Raw genomic sequence first — 565 nt, 5'->3', positions numbered from 1 at the left:
CACTTCCGCTGACCCGCCCCCCGGAAGCGATCCTCCGCAGCTGCGCACCGAGGCGCACCTCCGCGCACCCTCAGGAGGCGGGTCCAGCTCGGTGGCGAGGGGAGCGCGGCCCCCGAGTGGGCGAGGCGCTGGCGGCTGTAGGCTCCGATACCGCGGAGCACACTCCCCTCCATCGAGACCGTGCCCCCGCGGGGTCTGTGTCCCCGGGAGGAGTTGGCTGCGTTTGGAGATCCCTCGGCCTGGTATTCGTCGCGTCTCCCTGCTTGTTGCTCTCCACGTTTAGCCCCATCCGACTTCTGGAAGCCCAGGGGTGTGTCGCTCGACCCCTAAAATATGCTCCTACCCCTAGGGCAAACTTCAGAATCCTCACCCTGGCCCCCTTCCCAGTTCTTGGTTCCCAGGCAGGTCCCTTTGCAAAGCCTCTCTCCAGCAAGAATGCGCAGAATGGGCCTCTTTCTCCTCTTGACTCCTGCCCTCCAGCACTTTGCAGCTTTCTTCTATTTTAGCCTCTCTCTCTCTCTCTCACACACACACACACACACACACACACACACACACACACACA

At 62.5% G+C, this 565-nt stretch overlaps 1 annotated feature.

The window, feature by feature from the left end:
- Positions 25-214: a silencer, noted in NCBI's record as "silent region_462". NCBI's record gives its function as "represses an Ori minimal core promoter by ATAC-STARR-seq in GM12878 lymphoblastoid cells {active_cell/tissue: GM12878}" and the evidence as "EXISTENCE:reporter gene assay evidence [ECO:0000049][PMID:35858748]".

The sequence above is a fragment of the Homo sapiens genome, chromosome 1, assembly GCF_000001405.40.
Source record: "Homo sapiens chromosome 1, GRCh38.p14 Primary Assembly".
Lineage (NCBI taxonomy): Eukaryota > Metazoa > Chordata > Mammalia > Primates > Hominidae > Homo > Homo sapiens.
The sequence above is the reverse complement of the archived record's forward strand: the minus strand, read 5'-3'. Positions and strand labels throughout refer to the sequence as shown.